This window comes from Homo sapiens, chromosome 8, assembly GCF_000001405.40.
Source record: "Homo sapiens chromosome 8, GRCh38.p14 Primary Assembly".
Classification (NCBI taxonomy): domain Eukaryota; kingdom Metazoa; phylum Chordata; class Mammalia; order Primates; family Hominidae; genus Homo; species Homo sapiens.
The window spans coordinates 104,873,443-104,895,991 of NC_000008.11; the positions used below are offsets into that span (position 1 = coordinate 104,873,443).

A 22,549-nucleotide genomic window follows, 5' to 3' on the forward strand; every position below is an offset into this window, starting at 1 on the left:
TTATGTTCTCTAATGGCTTTGTTTTTAGTCACCATCTTTGTTTATTTCTTTAAGATGTGTCCTTCTGTTAACCACTCCCTACCTCTCTTCGTTCTTTTCAGTTTTGACCACACTCTCCTGTTTCTCCTTGATCATCCTTCTTGGTTCCTTCACAGTCCGATTTGTGGTTTCCTAAGATTCTATTCTTGATCTCTCTTCAGGACTGGAATGCAGGCCTCCTGTTTCTTGGGTCAGGGTCAGGCTTTTTCTCTGTTTTTTTTTTTTTTTTTTTTTTTTTTTTGAGTTGGAGTTTCACTCTTAACGCCCAGGCTGGAGTGCAATGGCGCGATCTCGTCTCACTGCAACCTCCGGGGGGCGGTGGGGGGGCGGCGGGGAGCGGTGAGGTTTTTTCTAGAGAGTCATCCTATCCTAGATCAAATGTAAAGGCAGGCGGCTTCTGTAACTGTCATTGTTCTGCTTTCTGCTCCAATGAATAGCAATTAGATGGGTGCTTCCTCCAGCTAAATATTCATATACCTTCTGCAACTACCCCTAAAAGGACTATTTGATCTCTTTGATAATTGATAGACACCACACTTACTGTATTATCAGAATGTACTCCTCTATTTACAAAACTACTTGTGTTGCTGAAGTCAAAGAATAGACATGGCTTGATCTGCATCGTCTTAGCTAAATATATAGTTTAGTAATCCCAAATACTTTGAATTTCCCTATTGTTGCTTTCTTCCGATTTGTTGATTTTCTTCTGCTATTTAATATATTTTGTCTAAATTTTAAAGTCGTAAATGGTGCTAAGGTTTAACTAACTCATTCATTCATACATTTGTTCTTTTATTCATTTCTTCCTTCAACAATCTTTCAACATTAAATTACTTTGTTTTGAAAGTGCAATGTAAGTAGACCCCCAAGAGTTTTGTATTTAAGGAATTTGAGGCTTGGCCTGAGGGCATTACATGAAACAAATGAGTATTTTCCGGTTTCATAATCTGAGCGAAATTGTGCTAGTAATTACTTCTTTCTTTTCATTGTGTTGTCTGGGACGTGCTCCTGGCTCATAGGTGAATATATGTCTTGATGGCCTTTGACATAAAGTATTTTCCCATGTGCTGGTTAGCAATTTGATTTTATGTTCATAAATTGTTCATTCTTGTTTCCTCCCTATAGGTTTGTGGCATTTTCTTTATCAATTTATAAGTTTTTAATGCATAGAAGTATTAATGCTTTGTTATACTTGTTGCAAATATTTTCTTTGTGCTTGCCTTTTAATTTTGTAAAGTTTTGAACCTTCCAACTTTAACATTTTATAACCATACCAATCACTTTGAATTTCTTTACCACATATAAGCTATAAAAGCCTTTCTACCTCCAAATACTTGATAAATATTTGCTTACTTTTTTTATTTCTTTTTTGCCATTCTTTCTTCTACATTTAATTCCTTACTCCAGCTAAAATTTTATTGTAAAATGTTCTAATGCCTTTAAAAATAATTTTAAATTGCCTTTTCATCTGTGATACACATTTTATACCATTCTAAATTTTGATATATGTAGCTCTGTTTCTGAGTTACATATTCTCTTCCATTACTTTGTCTATCTAGTCTTATCAGATCTTTAATCATTATCGCTTTATAATACATTAAACTCTGGGAGGGCTAGTGTCTTCCTTCCTCTATTAAGCTTCTTTTATTCAAAATCCGCTTAGTCATATATTACTGTTTATTCTTACTTTGAGAAATATTGTTGTAGTTTATGGTGTTCTGTAAGTTTCTTAAGGTTCAAGTTTTCCCACAGAGAAATTTTCACTGGGACTACCAGAAAGGCTTTTGTCAACATCTAAAGGTCTTGCAAAAATAGCCATGGATAAAATAAAAGTTACGGATTCTAGCTACGACCTTGAGCAAGTTACAATTTCTCTTAATACTACTTTTTCATTTATAAAGTAAGAGCTTTGTTCTGTAGATTTTTAAAGACTTTCTTTCAACTCAGGCTTTTTACATACAGAGTTCTGTTGTTAGATATTTAAACCATTCATTTATCCTCTCGTTAAGTTACAGAACACTTCTAAGAACAATGGTTGTAATAGTGATAGGGATGGGGTTGGGGAGATAAGGGAAATAAATACACATAGAAAGTATAGTTCCCATTTTCTGGTAATTTACAGTATTATATGTGTTTATCTCTGCCACTAGACTGTAAACTCTGGAAGGGCAGAGCCTGTGCCTTGTTTCTTGTGCCTGACAAATACTAAGTGCACATAAAGATGATTTGTTGAATGAACAAACACTGACTCCTACAGATTGGAAGAACATTTTTCAGGGTCCTCCAAAGGCAACAATTCCATAGATGTCTTTCTCTGTCATTGTCCATGACCTCTTCCTATTTTATCAGCCAATTCAGTTTTGTCTTCCATCCTACACTCTTGGACCCAGCTCCAGTGACTCAAGATGAGGAGCTGGATACACAGTGAAATAAATACCAGACTCTAGCCAGTATCTTAGTAAAGTCTTGTTCCTGAGCAATGGGAATGGGAGGAATGGTTTAACCCAACCACCACCCAGGATTTCCAGCAATTGCCCAAGATCCCACCTTCCTATTTCCAATTTTCCTTCACTTTAATACTATTTCTGGTCACTCCTATTTCTTCTTACAGTGTTTCTGGAGTTTGTATTCATACTTAGAGTGCCTTATTTAAACCATAGCTTTCTCTAACTGACTCTGAAGTCATGCCATTCTGGCTGTGGGTATGTCAAGACAGACTTGTGTAAAAACCCCTGCCCAGCCAAATGCCACCCTAAATTTTAATCTTGTCCACCTCATTGGTACTCTACTGGAGCAGTACCATCACCCCAGTGAGGAATTGCTTATTTAGGATCACTGGGTAGCCCAAGAAAACCTTCCAAACTGAGGACAAAGTGCTGCTACTGAGAAAGCACTGGGAGCCTACATATTTTTTCCAATATTTTAATTGCAGTAAATACACATAACATGGTATTTACCATTTTGACCATTTTTAAGTGTACAGTTCAATGATTAAGTACATTCATATTGTTGTACAATTATTATCACCATCAATCTTCAGAAGTCTTTCATTTGCAAGACTGAAACTCTATACTTATTCAACAATAACTTCCTATTCTTTCTCCCTCCAGTCCCCAGCAACCCTCGTTCTGCTTTCTGTCTATAATTTTGACTACTCTAGGTACCTCATATAAATGGGATCGTACAGTACTTATCTTTTTGTGACTGGCTTATTACACTTGGTAAAATGTCCTCCAGGTCCATTCATATTATATGAAGCATATGTCAAAATTAATGATGAATAATATTCCATTGTATGTATATACCACATTTTGTTTATCCATTCATTTACTGATGGACACTTGGGTTGTTTCGGTGTTTAGCTTGTGAATAATGCTTCTATAAACCCGGGTATAACATTTCTTTGAGACTGTGTTTACAATTCTTTTGGGTATATACCCATAAGTAGAATTGCTGGATCATACGGTGATTTGATTTTTAACTTTTTGTGGAACTGCTATGCTATTTTCCATAGAGGCTATACCATTTTACATGCCTACCAGCAGTGCGCAAGGGTTCCAATTTCTCCACATCCTTGTCAACACTTGTTATTTTCTGTTTTGTTTTTATTTTTATAGTAGTAATTCTAAATGGTGTGATGTGGTAGCTCATTGTGGTTTTGATTTGCATTTCCCTAATGATTAGTAATGTTAGGCATCTTTTCATGTACTTATTGGCTATTTGCATATCTTCTTTGAAGAAATGTCTATTCAAGTCGTTTGCTTATAGGGGCCTGTGTTTTTAGAACTCGCATCAAATCTTTTTTCAAGTTTTTCATAATATAACTTTCCTTCAGTGAAAAGTTAATTTTTTCATCATCTATGAAGCCCCCTCTGACTGCTTTAGGTAGAATTAGTTGATTCATTTTTTATTTTTATCCGTATAAGACCTGTTAAAGCATTTATTCCAGAACATTATAATTGTCTAATTAACAAATGTGTTTCCTCCCACTTACACCCAAGGCCAGCAACCGTATTTTATTAATTTTTGTTCACATAATACTTATTGCTAATTCTGGCACATAGTAGGTGCTCAGTGAAGCTCTGATGAAGGACTACATCAATATATTCATTATCTACTTTAAAAATAAAATATCTATTTCTATAGACAACTGAGTATGTATTATCATGGCTTTGTAGCAAACTAATAAAGGTATCTATTAAGGCCATTTGCACTGTTGCTTTTCCTACTAAAAAAGAGCGGTGATTTTCAACTCTGAATGAACATTAAAATCATCTCAATTCCTGGGTTTAACCTCAAAGATGCCAGGTGAGGCTTGGGCAGTGTGTTTTTTAATAGTTTTCCAGGTAATTCTAATGTGTGGCCAGGGTTGAGAACTGCGAAGAATCACTGAAAAGTGAGATCACAAAGTATATTGCTCTCTTCCAGCTTTATGGGGCTGAGTCACTCTGGCATCACATTATAGAAAATATAGCCAACACGTGCATGAGAATTAGCTTGTAGATCCACTCGTTTCATAAGCATTTTTGAAATAACCCAATACTTCCTCCTGTACTTTACATCCCTTATAATTATATTATAATCCAGTTAGTAGTCCAACAGTCACACGAGTTCCTCTTTATTTTAATTTGAGAGACATGAGTTCAGGTATTATTAATCCAGGCATTTTGAATCCATGGAATCAGGTAAGAAGCATGGCATATCTCTAAGTTTGTGCTATTACCATGTGGAATGTTATCAAAGTTTTCAGGGAAATGTTGGTAACCTCTTTGCACTGGTAGATGTGGATTTTATAATTACTTGTGACTTTGCTTCTTTTATTGTCTCTGGCCCTAGCCTTGGTATTCTTTTAATGTACATTTCTGTACAAATGAGAAAAGCAAGAGTTAAGATGTGGAACTTATGTGTCTGGCCACAGCTGTTCAGAGCAATTCAGTGTGTCAAGCTGAGGTCAAATGAATAGGGAATGTCATTACTAAATGGTAACATTTTCTGAGGGCTTTAAAAAAATTCAAGTCCTTTTTAAATCTACATTTATTTTATCTTTTTTCAGGGTGATAGGTTGCACTTCTAGTTCTTGTCAGAGATTTGTACATTAAAATGACTCTAAATTTAACTATTCTAAAAATCAACTTTCCAAACAGTTTTTCAGGCGGCATCAGCTGAAAGCATACAGTTTTATTTGAGACACAGTCTTCAAGTTTGGTAAGATGTACTTGCTTATTTGCAAGGGTGATGTGACATATGCCTATCTACTATGCCTCTTTGATATATTAACAAAGACACTGGGGATTAGGTCATATTTCCAAATTCCATGAGCTGAATTATAGGTATCAAAGCAACCTTCTCATGGTTCATTAAATTTAAAATGCTATAATATTTAGAAATTTGAGACATACATATACCAATTTGGAAGCTAACAAAATGAACAACATACTTGTGTATCTGTGCTGTGTATTGTAATAGTATGTTGATAAACAGGTAGTTCAGGCTATAAAGTACATTATGTGTATGTCAAATCAGTGATGTAGCATTTATGGTATGAAATTTGCAAAAATGGATCAAGGGCAAAACTGGGTTATTGAGGCAGCTTTTTAGCACATGCCAACCCTATTATACTTGTAAGGAAATGTGTCACATGATGAACAGGAGAAAAGTGGGTGTGTTCACCTCTTAATTATCTATGGACTAGAGGTGTATTAGTCCGTTCTCACACCACTATAAGGACTTACCCAAGACTGGGTAGTTTATAAAGCAATGAGGTTTAACTGACTCACAGTTCTGAATGGCTGGGGAGGCCTCAGCAAACTTACAATCACGGCAGAAGGCACCTACCTCCTTCACAGTGCGGCAGGAGAGAGAATCAGTGCCAAGTGAAGGGGAAAGCCCTTTATAAAACCATCAGATCTCATGAGAACTCACTCATTATCATAAGAACAACATAGGTGGTGGAACACCTCTGTGATTCAATTACCTCCTACTGGGTCCCTCCCATGGCATGTAGGGATTATGGAATTACAATTCAAGATGAGATTTGGGTAGGGACACAAAGCCATATTGAGAGATGAGCAGAAATATAGCTAAATATATAGTGGATCTCCAGAAAACCACACATTATTGCCTCATATGTATCCTTCAGACCTTTTCATTTCTATGCACTCTGCTAATTTTCTTTTTGTCTGAGGACTTTTTCCAAAGCTATGGAACTCTGTTCAACTCACTTGCAGACAAGGCCGAAAGGGCCAGAAAATTATTTCTTTTTAGGCACAGCCCTCTCAACCAATGATAGATAGGAATTGATGGATAAAGACCCTGGCTCCCTCTTTCCACAAGTAGAACTCCAAACTACATGTTCTGTTACATCTCCCAGACTTTTCCAACTGATCCCAGAAGATCAGCTGAATAATCTCCAGGTTCCCAGAGGGATGACTTGCTTAACACACCATTTCTTGTCTTACTGCTTTATTAGCACTCTGGCCATCTCACTTTTATTTCCCCAGTATCCTACCAGTATTTCCCATACCTCCCAAACTTGCAAACTAGTCTTTGTCTTAGGGTCTACTTCTGGGAGAACTCCAACTATGATAACTGAACAATGATATATGCTTTTAGCTTTCATTTTAAAATGGAAGTTTGTGAGAATTCACCTAAAACCTGTTTGCAAAGCAGTGCCCTAAGGAACTCTGTGGCTTTGGCTTTGGGCCACTCACACCATCTTTTTGAGCCTCAGTTTCTTTATAAAATTAACAGATGGAATCAATGACCTCATTCTAAGATTCTATTATTTTAAGACCTGAATTAAGGTTTCTTCCACCCTCATCCTAGCACCATTTCAGCAATTTACTGCTGGGTGTTACTTCTCTATGTTGGTAAAGACCATTCTCTTTCAGGGTATTCTTAACCAATGCAAACAGGGTTTCTAAAAAGTCCTTCTACTGGATTCATGCTTTGGATACCCTTTTGTCACTTGTCATCAGCTCAGACTCTGAATACTGTTTCTCCTACTACCTCCCTATCCTCTGAAGTTGATAGTCAAGGCCTCAGCTACAGAACAACCAAGATTCCAGGGCCTTTCTCTGCAAAATTCCTCACCTTCTTCTTCCCTCTTAGATGTGTTCTATCCTGATGCAATTGAATTTGCCTCTCTGTGGGGCTCCCCTAGTCACTCCCTACATGAGGTATAAGCCCTTGTTCTTCTATCTGATTTCATTTGTACAGTTCAAAGAAAAGGGATTTCACATCATACTGAATAGATACATAGAGCATGACAGGCTGATTCCACAGATGAAGTTAGTGCCTTTTCAGGTGGTTGAAATAATTGCAAGAACCACCAGCATGGCTTACCTTTGGGGGGATGGGAGTAAAGACAAAATGAAATGTGAAGTAAGTGGGAGAAGTGTACATTTTAAATAATTTATTTTTTAAACATGCAAACATGGTGGTTATTTTCCATGGCTTGGCTGGTCTGGAGAGGGCTGTCTCATGTTCCTGAGCACCTGCGGCTCTGCAGTCTGTCCTCCTGGCAGAGAAATGCATTTCAATTCTGGGTGTTTGTTTTGTTTTGCTTGTAGCTATTCTTAGATTGGGAATAGACACATGAATAGATACAGTACTGTGGAGAGAGCTTTATGGGGTCAACATGGCATCACTCTTGCTCAAGAGGGGCTTCCTGGAGAAGGGCTATCACTTACTCTGTCTTTTGGGGGTGGTTTATCTCAATTTATTGGGGCTTTGACATCCAGAGACTCAGGATCATATTAATTCCAACAGACATCTCACCATTCAAATGAATGAGAACAGACGTGCGAATTATTGGACTTGATTAGATCCAAGGCTAGGCTCTAAAGCACTCAAATAGGATTCTGAATGCAGAGCCCCATGGAGGAGCTAGATTTCCATCAGCCAAATGACCCACCCCAGGAGTGAATTGGGGATTGCAGTGATGCCCAAACTAAATAGAGCTTCCAATGTGGCGGTGGTGACCTTACTCATCTACCAGTGTCTGGGGGTGATTTTATGATTTTTCAAGTCACTTTATTCCTGTTGACTTTGAGGTAGGCTAAACTTAGTTATACCATTACCTGGAACTGCTGAGTCCTTCAGTTAGAAGGTCATTTTTAAGTTCCCAAATGTTCCCAGTTTAAATCTGATCAAGGGAACATTGGAGTGGGTAAAGGAGGGGAGCAGTTCAGAGCACATACAAACAATTTAGACTCTTCTCTAGATTGGAGCAAGGTCTGGGGGTGGGGTCTAGAACCAGCCTGTCTGCTGATAGTTCTTTGCAAATTATCATGTCTTGGCTTTGAGGCAGCTCCACATGCAAGTGACTTCAGGAGGGTATATATTATGGATCTTGTGTTTTTATAGTGTTTTTGTTTCACCAGATTTGAAGCCCCTTGCTGGAAGTATCTTCACTTTTCTTATTTTGAAAATTTTACACAACATTAGTGTGTCAGGGACAATAATTCTCGTCAAATACGCTTCCCGTATTCCCTGGCCCCATGAAGTTAGGTGGACCATCTGGATAGTTCTGACCAATGAAATACTTGTCAGTGCTAAGCTGAGGCAGCAAAAAACCTATGAATGATCCTGTGGTTTCTCTTTCTTCTACCTTGGTGGATGATAATGTCCCAGATGGTGGTGCTTCTGTCAGTCTATGAAGCATGGCCCTATTTTGACTCATGTTGCGTATGTAATCCAAGCAAAAAAATCTACTTTTGTTGTATTGAGCCACTGAGATTTTATGGTTATTTGTTATCACAGTACAAGTAGTCCTTTTTTTTTTTTTTTTTTTTTTTTTTTTTTTTTTTTTTTTTTGAGACTGAGTTTCTCTCCTGCTGCCCAGGCTGGAGTGCAATGGCTCAATTTCGGCTCCTCTGCCTCCTGGGTTGCAATTCTCCTGCCTCAGTCTCCCCGAGTAGCTGGAATCACAGGAGTCCACCACCATGTGTGGTTAATTTTTTGTATTTTTAGTAGAGACCAGGCTTTCACCATGTTGGCCAGGCTGGTCTCGAACTCCTGACCTCAGGTGATCCACCTGCCTCAGGCTCCCAGAGTGGTGGGATTACAGGTGTGAGCCACCGCGCCTGGCCCAATTGTCTGTCTTGACTAACTTGGAAATTGGTAACTGAGATGGGGTGATGCAGAACAAAGTTGTATCATGTTGGTTTGGTGGTCAGGTTATAGGTGGTAACTGAGTAAACTAATATTAGGGACTGGAAAAGTGGTGATTGTTGAATGCTGGCTCCCTAAAACGTCACCAAAACAACCTGTTTATAAGACAAAGCGGAGTTCATTGCTTACCACGTAAGGGAGAATCCCACCTTGACAGAACCCTCTTGGGAAGGATCATGATATAAGTCTAGAATTGGTGAACGTGATGAAATGTAAGTTAAAGTGTTGGTAGATGTTTCCTTCACTATAGCAAGCGTATGTCCAAACAGCCTCTGCTAATTTGATCTCTAACTTACTTTTCTTTTTGACAGAGAAGAATTTGAATAGGAAGTTATTATAAGAAAAGCCCCTGCTCATTAAATAACATTTAAAAAATATAGACTTTAAAATGTAGCAGCTCCAGAACACTTTAACAGCAATCTCTACATGAGCTACCTACATGAAGTATCATCTTCCTCAAGCAGACTTCTAGTGAGATCATTCAGCAGCTAGAAAATGATCTTTTGATTTTATCTGTTGTCAAAACCACAGGGGACTATTGTAGGCTCTTATGTAATTATTATTGTAGCTCAATAAACCAAGAGAACTGCAGGGTGGGCTTTTAATCATATTCTTTCCTTTCTGTTGCTTCTCATCACCACCCAGAGAAGTTCTTTAGGCATAGATTTAATAATTTAATGATATATCCTCCTTGGGTCTTTCTCAGATCTGCAAAGCAGAGTTAATCTAACCTCATTCTGCTCCCAGAGCCCTTTAGTTATTTTTCCATTACAACATTTAACAGAGGTTGATTTTGTATTAACAGTTTTTTGGGTCTATGTCTCTCTTATGTTTCTTTTAGTCTCTATGCATGAACTAAAGTTTCCTAAAATTCAGAAGATGTGGGCCATAAGTCAGAAAAATTAACTGTGTTTTATCAATTTTTTCCAATACATTTAAGTGAATAAATCTCTTGTGTACTTGTTCAATGTAAGACTTTACTAGGTGGATTAGTCAGGATGGGGTAGGTTACAGCGCTGTAACAACAAACCCTCCAAATTTCTATAGTTTGACACACACAAGTTTATATCTCACTCATACTACGTATACAACATAGATCAATTTAGATCTCTGTACCATCAGTGACTCAAGACACAGGATGATAAAGAACTTATCATCTGGAATATTGTTGATAGCTTTTACAGAGGAAGAAAGAGTCTGAATCATGCATGAGTTTTGTACTGCCTCAATTCAAAAGTTTCATGTAGGGATTGCTATTAAGGTGTTCTGGTGCTACTAAATTCTAAAATTCTATATTTCAAAAAACGTTGTTCAATGGGAAGCGTTTTTTAAACTACACATTTATATTCAAGTTCTATGCCCAAACCAAAACTAAGTTAGAAATCAAATTAGCCAATGCTGTTTATTCATATGTTTGCTATAGCAAGGGAAATATCTATGGTCCCTTTTGCTCCTTCAGAGGTTCAAGGAGGATTTGAAAGGAAAATGAGTTTTATAGGAAAAAAAAGCACATTCTATTAAGGTGAGATTTTTGAAAGGGGCATGGGGCAGTCTTATGATTGGCCTTTAAGTATATTTGGCTGTCCTTGTTTGGTTGCAAGGGAGCAGGCACTTTGAGGTTTCCAGAAAGGAAGAGGCTATTCAAACTGTGGCCCGAGATTTCCTACAACTAGTGAGTCAATTGAGTGTTCTTTATGGTTATACTGATAGAATATTTGAGTCATGGTCCTGAGGTAAGGATGGTGGTAATGGCAGACAGTTTCTCAAAAAATTGTAAAGCACTGAATCGCTGCATTCTCATCTGCTGTGGCTAATTGTGAGGGCTTGGGCCAGTCAACATATCTCCTTTGACTGCACTTTCTTTACACCATGAAGATGGTAAATTGGGTGATGTTTACATTCTCTTCAGAGTCTTGCACGTCTAGGATTCCATGATGACACTGGCCACAAACTAATTTAATTCATTATGTTTATCAATTGCTAATTGAGATGAATAGCAATTCATCTCTTAGGTTGGTTATAGGGAGAACTCAAATTTATCTGAAGCCTTATGAACAAACACATCTACTGAGTTATGAAACTCTGTAATAACCAGCCATTCTCTGCTATTCAAAGGTGACAGCTTTAGGGGGTTCTCCTTCCCAGCATATGTGTCTGAAGCTCAAGAGACTGATGGAGGTGAGCCCTCTTCTTTTTACATCCATGGAGTAAAGGCTCTTCTCAGATTGTGGATACATCTTTGCCTCCCAGCACCTAAGGCCATTCCTGACCCTGCCACTTAGATGTGCAGTCAGCTGGAAACCTTTATTCAAAGGAGCTGCTCCAGGCTTACCTGCTGCCAGGCTGATGCAACTTGCCCAGCTGCCCACATCCATGCTCCAGAGTTGGAATCTATGCCCTGGAACAACCTGGATCCTTCCCTGCATATGGTTTCTCCACTTCAGCTCACCTACGTACTACAGCAGGGTTCACCTCGGGGCAGAAAGTACTGTCATGATTTCAGAAATTGCACAGTGGCCCTCTTTTCATGTAAATTATAAATAATGGATGCTCAACAATAATTTAAAGATGTGTTTATCAACGACCAGTGTTTTGCTAAAGCCTGTCTATAATTCACAAAGCAGGAATTCTTTATTCCTTTATTCACTGGGAATGGTCATCATTTGCCAGTTCAAGTAATGCATTTGAACTTGGCACAGTATGAGAATTCTAACATTTACTGAGCATTTACTAGATGCTAGGCACTGTGTCAAATTTTTTACATACACAATGAATCATTTAATCATCAAATCACTTGGGTTGAGAGGCTAATACTATTTATAGCATCATTTTACAGATGAGAAAAATGAGGCTTGGGAAGATTAAAGTAATTTGCTTGGGGTCTTATGTAGAATAATGACATATTCTAGCAGCGCCATTAGGGTTGCTGAATAGGCAGACTTTCTATTTTTAATTTTTTTTTTTTTGCTATGACTGTAAATTTTCACTTGGGAAAAAATTATTGGATTTTAAGCATCTTAATCTTTTTCACTTCAAAAATACCATCATAATGATGCCACAATACAACAGGCACTTAGTTCTTCCGAGTGGCTTACCCAGAATTATTATTGGTGGGTGTAGTGGCCTCTGAGTATCTGTCATCGTAACTTTCAAGTCAAGTTACCCCAGGAAGGAGGAAGAAATATGTTCTTCATTTTACACTTGGTGGCAGTCATTGTAGATGCCATGTTTCCTGGTGAAAAATGATCATGCTCTGAACTCTGCATCTGCGATCTGGCAAAAGTTGTTGCTTTAAAAAAATCATTTCAATGAATAAAAATGGAGCTTACTAATTTCTGTGGATCCTGAGAGGAGCAATGGGGACAGGCGTCATGTCACCTCTCTTTCTGTCTCTGAATGTCCATCTGTAAAATGGGGACTATGAGTGACCTCAGAATGCTTGCTGAGCATTCTGGAATGTACTGTGCAGATGGCAAATATGACTCATTTTCACATATGGCCCTTCCCCAGAAAGAAGGGCTGGGCAACAGTTTCCCTGAATCTTTGCAGGCATGGGCACCAATGAGCATTTATGAAGTGTTTAGAATTGTGCAGTATATCACTTGGTAGGCACATACATTTGGTCTGAATCTTGATGAAGAAGTTTTTTAAAAAAAAAAAAACAAAACAAAACTTCTCCCTGTTTTCCTGGCATAATATTCTGAACAGCAGCAACGCAATCTGTTGTTTGTTTAGAAAAGATGGCAGAAGGGTGTATGTAGTGTGTGTGCATGTGTGTTTGTTTGTTATGGAGGGATATCTGTTCACAGTGCAGTAAAAGAGTAATCCTACAACATAGAGTTACCTGAATTAGTTATTATCATTTGGGAAGACGTTGAGGTTTAGAATGAATTAGTTAAAGCTCTGCTCCCATGGTGGGCGTATAGCAGAGAAAATCCTCTCTTTAGCCTTCCCTCCCCAGTGTGGGCATATGCACACATGTGCACAGACACACACACATACAGACACATGGCAGAGGGGATTTTATCTCATGGTCTTCCCATAGTAGAATTCTTCTGGCCTTGGCTTCAGCAGCCCTATCTATTCTTTCCCCACCTCTCCTACTCCCTTTCATCTTGGAGGCTGGGCTTTGCTAGAGAGCAAGGGAAGCTTCTGAGCTGGTGGAAGAATCGCCATAGCAACATGGCACTGAGTCCTGCCCCCAAAGGTCTCAGCCATGCTTGGCTTTGCTTGGCTTTGGTCTTAGCTATGCTTGGCTTTGGTCTTAGCCCAAGTGAAGCAATATGAGGGTCTTTCTCACCTCTCACTTTGCATGGCCCAATCAATTGTGACTTTGAGCTACCTTTCAAACCCAGATAGACTCATACCCCCGGCCTCTGCATGCCTTTGTGAGCTGGCTTTTCTTTTTTCTCCATCAGTGCCAATTTATTTACATGTTTCAGATAACGAGCCAGTGTTCCCCAGTGTTGAGTTGGCAGCCACTTACTGTTGTGATTCAGGACTCCTGGGAAGAGCTTCCTCTGAATAAACATTTCACTCAGAAGAGGAAGGGATGCTTGGAGGGCAAAAGTGGCAATCTTAGGGTAATGAAGCAAGTGCTGGTGTTTCAGTTAGGAGATTGGGGTTCAAATCTATTTCCTGTAAACATCATAGAGCTGGACTCTGTGTGTGTGTGTGTGTGTGTGTGTGTGTGTATGTGTGCATGTGTGTGTTTTCTAACCAATAATTGAACTACAGATACATGCAACAATATGGATGAATCCCAGTAATGCAATGGTGAATATGAAAAATAAGCTCCAGATTATCTATTTTATGATAAAATTCAACCTCAAGTAAAACTAAACAACATTGTTTAAGAATGCATGTATTGTGACTTTAAAAAAAAAGTGTGTGTGTGTGTGTGTGTGTGTGTAAAAGCACCATAAACATTTTGGCTATCATGGGAAAAATAATTGCATAGGAGAGGTGAATATAAATTATTATTAATGTGGAGTCCTTGGGTTGAGTCATGAGTTTATGAATATTCATTATTTTATTTAAATCACTTAGTTAATTAAAGCAAGAAGGACCATGCCTAGACAGTAATGATGGTAGGTCCTGAAGCAATGATTGTGGTTAGTCCAATTCCATACATTCAAGGACCACAAGATCAAAACCAAAGAAAAGATTTCTTAACTGTAGTTGTGGATGCAGGTTACCCATGCTCTCTGAACCTTAATTACATTACTTGCAAAATGAAGGGTTTGAGCTAACTTGTCTCATGGATCTGTGCTACATAGAATAGCAATGTTGTTGAGAGTGACTTTACAGCCAGATTGCCCGGGGTTAGTAGCTCAACTGTGTCACCTCAGCAGTGCAATAGGCCATTGTAATGTCAGCACTGCCTATGATTTTGTTATCGATATCACAGATGTTTCTGTATCACATTAAAATTTTTCAGGTACCTCAGAATATTATTTACAGTCATAATTCCTTCAAAATTGTAGTAGTTAGTGGACCTGCTTCTAGATCTTATTGCTGAATGAATTAATACAAGCACATATATTACTATATTATATGGTTTTATTTTGAAAACTGTGTTATAATATACTTGATTTCCTTTGTAATCCTGTTTTTTCTGAGGTGGGTTCTGTAGATTTCACCAGAGAGTCAAAGGGACCTGTAGCTCAAAAAAGGTACACAATCTTTATAGAAAACTCAAAATTCTCCAAACACATAAACACACATACACACAGAGAGAGATGCATAGTTCTGTTAAATTGATAGAATAACTTGGGTGGCCTGAGAAAGTTTGAATGTTTTTCCCATCCATTTCCCATAAGCTGTATTTTTGGTGTTCATCTTTCTTTTTGATAGGTCATCTGCATTTACTCCTTTGAAGATGAATAGCAAGATGGTATTTTTGACACTTTAAATACATGAAGAAGTGTGCTCATTACCTTTTCAGTTAAACTTCACAAAGGAAAACAATTCTTTTGGAAATGATCTAAACGTGCTAAAATATTTCCTTCAAGTTCTGAATCACTTGTGAAAACTCTTGAGAAAATTTTAGGACCTGAAGGTCTTTGGGTTGTTTCTTCCCATCTAAAAATGAGGGTCAGACAAAGTGCAAAATGACACCCTCACAGCATTTCCTACAACACCCTCTTTTAAGAAGATGAACACACATGCCCCTGTGTGTTGCAATCCATCTAGGGAAGAATTTCTATGATTTCTACTTACGCTTTCTTATTCATTGACTTCACCCTGGGGACTTGAATCCCAATTAGTTCTTATAAAATTATTTACCTCCATGTAAGGTTTTAGTATAAATGTACAGCAGATGTGGTAGACACTAATTTGAGCCACATGCCCAGCAGTTTAGGAGGGATTTGTCAGGAGCCTATTTGTATGAAGGACCAAGGAGTCTTTGAGAAGAAGGACTCTCAAATGAAGAGGAAATAGAGGCAATACATAATCTTGGTCCTGGGACAATAATCTGTTGTTAGAGGAGTGCCAATTTTCAGCAGAGAATGAAATATATCTTTCAGATTGTTCTTTGGCCATCTGGGACTGGAGCAGATCTCAGAGATGGTAAATACGACAGAGCTGGCTTACAGAAGAATCTCTGTAATTTTCTTGGAGCTACTTTCTAGCCTCTGTGGTGAATCTAACAGATGGTGCAGCTTTTGGTTGTCTCACCATCCACCCCTTTTTCCCTGTGTAGCATCCTTTTGTGGGTAGCAGTCATTCTGCTTCCACCCCCTGAGTAAATCAGCATAATTTCATTTCCCGACCATAAATATTGGTTTCAAGGATGGGCACAGGACAGAAGGTGACTCAGTCAAAGTGAAGCCCTGAACTTGTGTTGGGTGGTAAGGGAAAAACGTCCTATTTCTTGGAAAAAGTGAAGTGTGGGCTTAACATCTGGATATGGTGTCCCATGGCGGAAGCCAGCCTGGGATGAAGGATGACTAGGAAGGAGGGGAGAGAGACAATGTGTTTGTGTGGAAGCAGAGCTAGAACCCTGACCACAACAGGCCTGAAGCTGCTGTATTGCAGGATTTTTCTGGTACATAAACAATATAGTGCCTTTACTATTTAAACCACTTTTATTTATGTATCTTTTTGTTATCGGGAGCCAAAATTGTTGCTTATTTTGGTCACTGGATTGTGGTGACGGGCATGTTAACTTCTAGAAAGGAGGAGGAAGATGCAAGATTAGAAAACCACAGTTAGTTGGATTCCTTAGCCTTGTAGCCCTCTGCAGAAGTTTGTTCATGAGATAATATTATGAATATCCCAATTTTTCAGATGAAAACACATATTCATTGAGAAATCTGCTGGCGAGTCTCATGGTCCCATATGAATTACTATGTAAATTAAGAATAGAAACCACTATCTTTTGATTCTATTCCCAACTCATACAGAGAGCACAGATTATTGTTGACTTTTAAGTATTTATTTGAAGTTTTAAGACCTGGAGGCATTTTACTAAATTCTTTCAGATTTGGGACATGTGTATGACTTAGGTCCCCCTGAAATTCACCCACAAAGAATAACTAGCTGATCTGGTGTTGACACTCTTTTATTGTCATTAGATGAAGATGACAGGGTATATATTATTGAAATAACTTCAACCCCCAATAGAAAAATTGTACTCATGCTCCAGCTCATGGAATTTCTCTGGCTGGCAAGAAGGTTAGACTATAATAATTGCGATTGTTTATTGAGCGTGAGCTTTATGTTAGGCATTGTGTTAAGTGCTTTATATGCATTATCTCATTTAATCTTTACAAAAACTTAAAAGGTTGTTACTATTATGCTGTTTTTGATACAACGCAACATTAGAAATGCAACAGGAATGTGACTTGGGGGTGCTGTTAAGAGGTTTATGGGGGTTAATAATCTCAGGCCTCTCTGGGGCATTAATACATTACCATTCAATATGATAAAAACCATCATGATGCCACTCAGGATATAAACAAGTCCCTGTAAAATGGTTTTATGTCATTCATGAACTGAAAATTGCTGTCTTAGATGCTGCCACTAATCTTTTTCTAAAATCTTCAGTGTTGGTCCTTTTGAGTTTGAATAACGTTACAATTTTTGAAAATTTTCTTTCTGTATGGGAAATAAAATTAATTTTTCAAAATACAGTGTTATTTTATATTTGAAAGTAATTTTATTGAATACTTCATGCTTCATTTGTTGACAACTATATATGTGTCTATAAGAAGAGGGGCATTGCATTTCTGAATGACGGTGATGAAGAATCAATTTTTGTAACTGCATATCATTACATTTTTATTTTAAAGTTGGAATAATGGTTTTATAGTTCCAAGGTATTTTAGATAAGGTTAATTATTCAGACCTTTTCATAAGAACAAACATGTATCTAAGACATGTTTAGTAAAATGCAATTATATGTCTTACAGCAAAGCTTTTTATAAAACATATTTCTTGAAGGTGAATGGTATTTCTGACTGAAATGGCTAAGCAATTAAAAATAAATTCCTTTGAAGGAAAATTTACCAATGGAGATTTGAAGTATTTGGGGGTAAAAGTGGTTAAGATGGCCAATTCAGGAGCTACTGGGCCTCATAGTACATCACTGGATATTGGCTGAACAAGGTTTTAAACTAGAAGTTTGCTTTTTCCTTAAGATATTTTCTTAGCTTGAGGATATCCTTTCTTCTGAGTGCTAGGTGTCATTCCCTCCGTCGTATGTTCTTCTTGGGTCAGGAGGACTCGTAAATATTTTTCTTCTTTCTGGTGATCCTTTGATTTTACATTCAAACCCGGCAAAACTGTATTGCATTCTTTCTTGCTTTACTTATCTAAAACCCCGACTAGGTCATTATTTCCCTATGAGTACATGAGACTGCAATGTTGTATTTTGCCAGGAGGTTTCACCATCTCACACATGATTCATAACATCCTCAAGTTCAAGATTTCAGGAAGAAATTAGATTCTAACTGATTTGATAAAGTTTTATAAACTTGAAAGTCTACTCTCAAATTTACTTAGAACAAGTATTATCTTGTAAGAGTTTCTCATTTACAATAGCTACATTACTGAACGGTCAAAAGTGGACATTTTTCTAACAAATGGTATCAAATACAAACACATAATTAACTTATCTTAGCCGCTCCTCTCAAAGCGAGGCAGCTCCTGCCAATCTATGGAGCTTTGGAGACAGATAAACGAGAAGGTGAGGAGCAGTGGCTTCGCTGCCTGCGGTATCTCTTTCTCCATCCACATACAGATAGAGTTTCTTCTCATCACCTTCAAATCCCCTTTAAGCTCCACTCTTACTCATCTCTAAACTTGATCCTCTGACGACTGATCCAGACACAGCTGCAGGAGGTGGGTACCTGTCTTCGCTGAAAGCTAGACTTGGCTCGTCCTAGTTCTTGTTTAGTGTGCTGCTTTCTCTACAACTGATCTGCAGTAAAAGAGAAAATGTCTGCACTCTACTTCCTGCATTCATGCTGGTACAGTGACATTTGCATGCAAAGACATGAAAATTATGTGGACTAAAATGAATTCTTGAAATAAGCATGCATGCCCCCTTCACCTAATCAATGTGGTGTTGGATAAAGACAGCAATCAGTCAGATCTAGGGAGGGAGTTAGATGAGTTGACCTGAAGGCCTTGCAATCCTGATTGTCTCTGAATCTAAAGACTGGAGGAGAATTGCACCAGCACTGAAAACCATGTGGCACAGCTATTGGTTGTATCCTTTCTTATCTTTACCACCTAAATTCAATTCAGAAGAAAGTACTGTTTTACATTTTTACATCTTAGTCTTCTTACATCTCTCAATCTCTCTACCCTAGTCCAACTTTTTTTCACCTCTTGCTTTACCACAGCCTTCTAATCTGTATTTTTGCTTCTCCCTGGCTGCCTTCCAATCAGTGCTACGGAGCATGGCTAGACGAAATTGGTGAAAATGAACTTCCAATTATGCTATCCCCTACAAGCACTTCTTATGGATCTTAGGATTAAAACTCACATTCTGAGCTGGATAGCAAGCAGCAAATGGTGTGATCCTGCTTTGAGGTTCTCACCACTACACCTCTGCCTAAGGCTGGGAGCAAGGATTTCCAGAGTCCTCTTCCCTTCATGGTCCTGGGTTAAACATTGCCAATGACAGGATCTGATTTGAGATTCTCAAGTGGTCATGGGGTTCAGACATGGGGTTGTCGTACACTCAGAAGTTTCATGGACCTTTCTGGAAACTCCTACTCTGTGGTTGAAGTGGGCTTTACAGTCTTCCCTTTAAGTTCGTCTTCCCATTCACCCTCCCAGACTCCAGGCCGAAGCTGCTGGCAACTGTTTCTCAGATTTCTTAGCCACGTCTTTCTAGACTTGCACTTGTCTGCCTCTTCTCATATCCCTGAAAGTTCTACTTCCTATATGAAATCCTCACCTGCTTACCTCTCCTGCTCATTCTCTGATTCATTAATTTTGCTTTTCAGTTTGCTTCCCTTATTCCCATGTAGGCATTCTTTCACCAAATTAGCTTAACTTTTCTGTCTAAGTTGGAAGGTAGACCTCACTTTTTCATAGGATTCTTCCTTGAAACCTAGATTAGGTCTAGTCCCCCAGTTATGTGTCCTCCTACCTTTATTTAGGATAAAGGTAGAACAACACATATCCTTTATTTGGGATCCCTTATTTAGGATATGATTCTCTTAAAGAGTGTCTTCTGTGCAGGACCTTAAGCTCCATCAGAGCGGGGACTGAGTCTGTTTTTCTCAGGATCTGGTTCAGTGCTTGACACATAGTAGGCCCTCGATTCACATTTGTTGAGTGAATGAAGGAATGAACATGCTGGGCTTTTATAAATCTACCCCGTGGGTCTGCCTGAATAGATATAAAGCAGTCAGATGGATGTGATATGGACCTTGTCCTTCTTGATCTGACTTGTTTATCCAGGGACTCTCTTTCTCAATGATATATTTTCTCTTTAGCTCATTTCAGTTTGGGAGATCTATGTGATAACTTCAGCACCCTATTTTTAAACATATTCATGGTAATGAACACTTCTGATGGAGATGATTTAATTTTTTAAAATTTTGCCCTTTACTTGAAAAGCCTGAAGACATAAGCTCAGTAAAATATAATGAAAATATCTGAAGTTCTCAACAGTGAAAATTAATAAAATATCAAGCAGCACATAGATGGTGGTCTCATCTTGCCCTACACGGACACATGCTTGTCCTCTGCTCAGGGACTTCCTCTTCCTAAGCGGTACTCTGTGTGTGGACTTTACCCATTTCATGACTGTGATGGATAACACTTCACACTTTAATGTCATATAGCACACATTATAACACCTGATCTTTTCGTAACTGACATTCTTTTCTCCACTATCTCCAAATAGAATTTTAATGGTTAATGTAACCTATTGGATGGTTCTCAGGAAAATTTTAGCCAAGCATTTTTGCCTAATGACCTGAGCTATTGCTGTCACTTTCCACATCTTCTTGGTCTGGAAAGCCAGGCTTTCAGTGAGTGCTGAGCTATGGCATGGACATGTTGATAAATGCCAGGGTAGGAGACTGATGAATAAAGGAATGAGGCTGATGGCAGGGCATGGCTGGAAGCCAGAGAATGTCATCTCCCCTTCAAGGTAGGGGGCCCGAAGTAGAGGGAACAGATCAAGATGAATGACCACCCGAGTAGTTCTTAGACTTCTTTTTCCTTTTCCTATAGACTTTCTCTTCTTCCCCAATTTCCCAGTCTCATTTAATGTAAGGTACATATCATAACACACAACACTGAATAATCATGAATTTATCTCTTTCTCTTCAAAGTCCTTGAAAAATAGCGAATGTGCCCCCAACAACTAGACATTTCAAACTGATGACCTTTTTCTTTCTGTCCTTCCTATGATTTTGTACCCCTCTGAAGGGCAGTAACTTTACAATCAATCCACTTTGATTGATTGATTTTAATTTTTTTATCATGAATTTTTTGCACTAATTTTGTTTTTTAAATATTGCATTAAAATATTTATCTTGACTACTGAGTTTTTGGCACCCCTTAGATTTCACTCTTGAGATGACTGCCTCATTTTAGTGCCAGCCATGCTAGCGTGGCAGGCAAGAATGTCCTTAGATGTGGATGGTCATGAAGCTGTCTATGGCATCCCAGTTACACATAATGATTTTCTTTCAAATTTAGAAACCTGGCTATTTTATGATATAACAAATTATTAGATATTGTTGTGATGCTGTTTGTTTTATCCAGCTTGACGTAATCATTTAATAGTAATCTTCAGAAATAGGGAACTGTTCATATTTCTCACGTGAATTTTAGACTTTTGGAAAAAATGCTGTGGCAAAGGGAATTGGGCTCATTTTTATGCTCATTTGTATTTAGGCAATCTGTGAATCTCACCACATAGCTCGGCAGTTAGGCAAAGCAGGTACATATGGGCTGCTTAGACTGTATCAAGTGAAGCCTTTTATTTTCTGGGGTTCATTTCTGTTGTTTTCAGAAAGGAGCCTCCTGATGGCTCTGGGACCACTATGTCCAGCCTGTGGTGCTGTCCCACTGAAGTCAACAGCTCTGATTCAAAAGAAAAGTAGCTGCAGGCATGCACAGACATGAAATGCAGCAAAGACTTAAACTGACACCAACTACATTGTGAATGGGGGAAAATGTTAGGGCCTATTTAAAGGCCAAAGCCTTTCACCAGGGACAGAAATGGCCAGAGAAAAGATGTGAAATCACTGTTAAAATTATTTTGTCCTCCTAGGAAACATTCAAATCAGTTGACAAAGAATGGCTGATGCTGAAATGACTTGCTGTCTCGGTGTGGAGTGGAAACAATCCTGCTAAATTTCATATTGCAGTGACACCAAAGCAAAGGACAGATCTCAAGACAACTTTTATTGAAATGGAAAACAGTTAATTTTAACTAAAGAATAAGAGAAATGCCAACAGAAATAAAAGACCCAGAAATCAGAGGACAATGTGCGAAACTCTATATACTGAGACACACAAATTGAAACAACCCAAATAAATGCCAAATGCACAAGAAAATAAATGTAACTTATCAGAGGTTAATGCCTTTTATGTTTTGTTCATACGGCAACTTGTTCTGTGGTTAAATAAAAAGGATTGGGGACCAGACAGGGCATGAGGCTTTTCTAATCCACATTGAGCCACTGACTCAATGTGACCTCAAGCAACTCTCTAGAGTGTGTTGGCCTCACTCAATCATATGTATATATAATATGTACTTGTACTCAGATAATAAAAAAGAGGGGAGTTAGTAGGCTTGTGAAATCTGCCATTATTTTTGGAGACCAATTATCACTTCTGGTAATTGCAGAGAAAG

General features: G+C 38.3%; 2 long non-coding RNA genes across 3 annotated transcripts in view; one reads left to right on the forward strand and one right to left on the reverse strand.

The window, feature by feature from the left end:
- Nucleotides 1–22,270, forward strand: part of LOC105375694 (uncharacterized) — a 68,330-nt gene extending 46,060 nt beyond the window's left edge. Inside the window, exon 3 of the long non-coding RNA XR_928510.2 lies at nt 21,965–22,270. This is a non-coding gene — a long non-coding RNA (uncharacterized LOC105375694). The remainder of the gene's footprint in view (nt 1–21,964) is intronic.
- LOC105375693 (uncharacterized) lies at nt 7,439–12,602 on the reverse strand. 2 transcript variants are annotated; one of them, XR_007061043.1, is made up of 2 exons: nt 12,543–12,602; nt 7,439–7,558 (listed from the first exon to the last, which is right to left on the reverse strand). It is a non-coding gene; the product is annotated as an uncharacterized LOC105375693 (long non-coding RNA). The 2 variants fall into 2 exon arrangements; XR_007061044.1 differs by lacking the exon at nt 12,543–12,602 and adding an exon at nt 11,546–11,615.
- Nucleotides 22,271–22,549: the final 279 nt, after the last annotated feature.